We start from the raw sequence: 1,283 nt of genomic DNA on the forward strand, positions 1-1,283 counted from the left end.
CAACAGTGAGGATAGAAAAGCAAGAGTGCACATTTCCAGTATGTAAAATCTAAATAATTTAGGGCTCACATGTCTGACTTGGAGGCACCATAAAATTTGACCATGGTCTATTTGGAAGGGACAAGGCAGTGCCCTGGAAAAAATAATAAAAATCTCTCCTAATGTTCAATTTCACTAAATGGCTTTTCATAATGGGAAGGGTTAGCCATTGGGGTAAAACTGAAGCAGCATTTTGATGAAACTTTTGTGACTATTTCTTGGTCTATGTCATGCCTAAATTTGAATTTCTCTGACATTTAGGTCATGCAGAGCATCATGTGGCTACTATAATCTTCTCATATAATCTACTTTAAAATCCCATGTGACTTATTTTCTATTCTTTTAAATTACCCCCTGATATGGTCTTTGTCCCCACCCAAATCTCATCTTGAATCTCCACGTGTTGTGGGAAGGACCTGGTAGGAGGTAATTGAATGGGGGCAGGTCTTTCCTGTGCTGTTCTCGTGATAGTAGATCTCATGGTTCTATAAGAAGGAGTTTCCTTGCACAAGCTCTCTCTTCTCTTGTCTGCCACCATATGAAATGGGCCTCTCACTTTCCACCATGATTGGGAGGCTTCCCCAGCCACGGAGAATGGTAAGTCCACTGCCCAGTCTCAGGTATGTCTTGATCAGCACTGTGAGAATTGACTAATACAGTAAACTGGTACCAGGAGTGGGGCACTGCTGAAAAGATACCCAAAAATGTGGAAGTGACTTTAGAACTCAATAATAGGCAGAGTTTGGAACAGTTTGGAGGGCTCAGAAGATGACAGGAAAATGCGGTAAAGTTTGGAACATCCTAAGACTTGTTGAATGGCTTTGCCCAAAATGCTGATAGCAATATGGCAATAAAACCCAGGCTGAGGTGGTCTCAGATGGAAATGAGGAACTTGTTGGGAACTAGAGCAAAGGTGACTCTTGTTACATTTTGGCAAAGAGACTGGTGGCATTTTGCCCCTGCTGTAAAGATTTCTGAAACTTTGAACTTGAGAGAGATGATTTAGGGTATCTGATGGAAAAAATTTCTAAGCAGCAAAGCATTCAAGATGTGACTTGGGTGCTGTTAAAGGCATGCTGTTTGAAAAGGGAAACAGAGCATAAAAGTTCAGCAAATTTGCAGCCTGACAATGCAACAGAAAAGAAAATCCCATTTTCTGAGTAGAAATTCAAGCGGGCTGCAGAAATTTGCATAAGTAATGAAGAGCCAAATATCAATCACCAAGACAATGGGGAAAATGTCTC

Source organism: Homo sapiens, chromosome 6 (genome assembly GCF_000001405.40).
Source record: "Homo sapiens chromosome 6, GRCh38.p14 Primary Assembly".
NCBI lineage: Eukaryota > Metazoa > Chordata > Mammalia > Primates > Hominidae > Homo > Homo sapiens.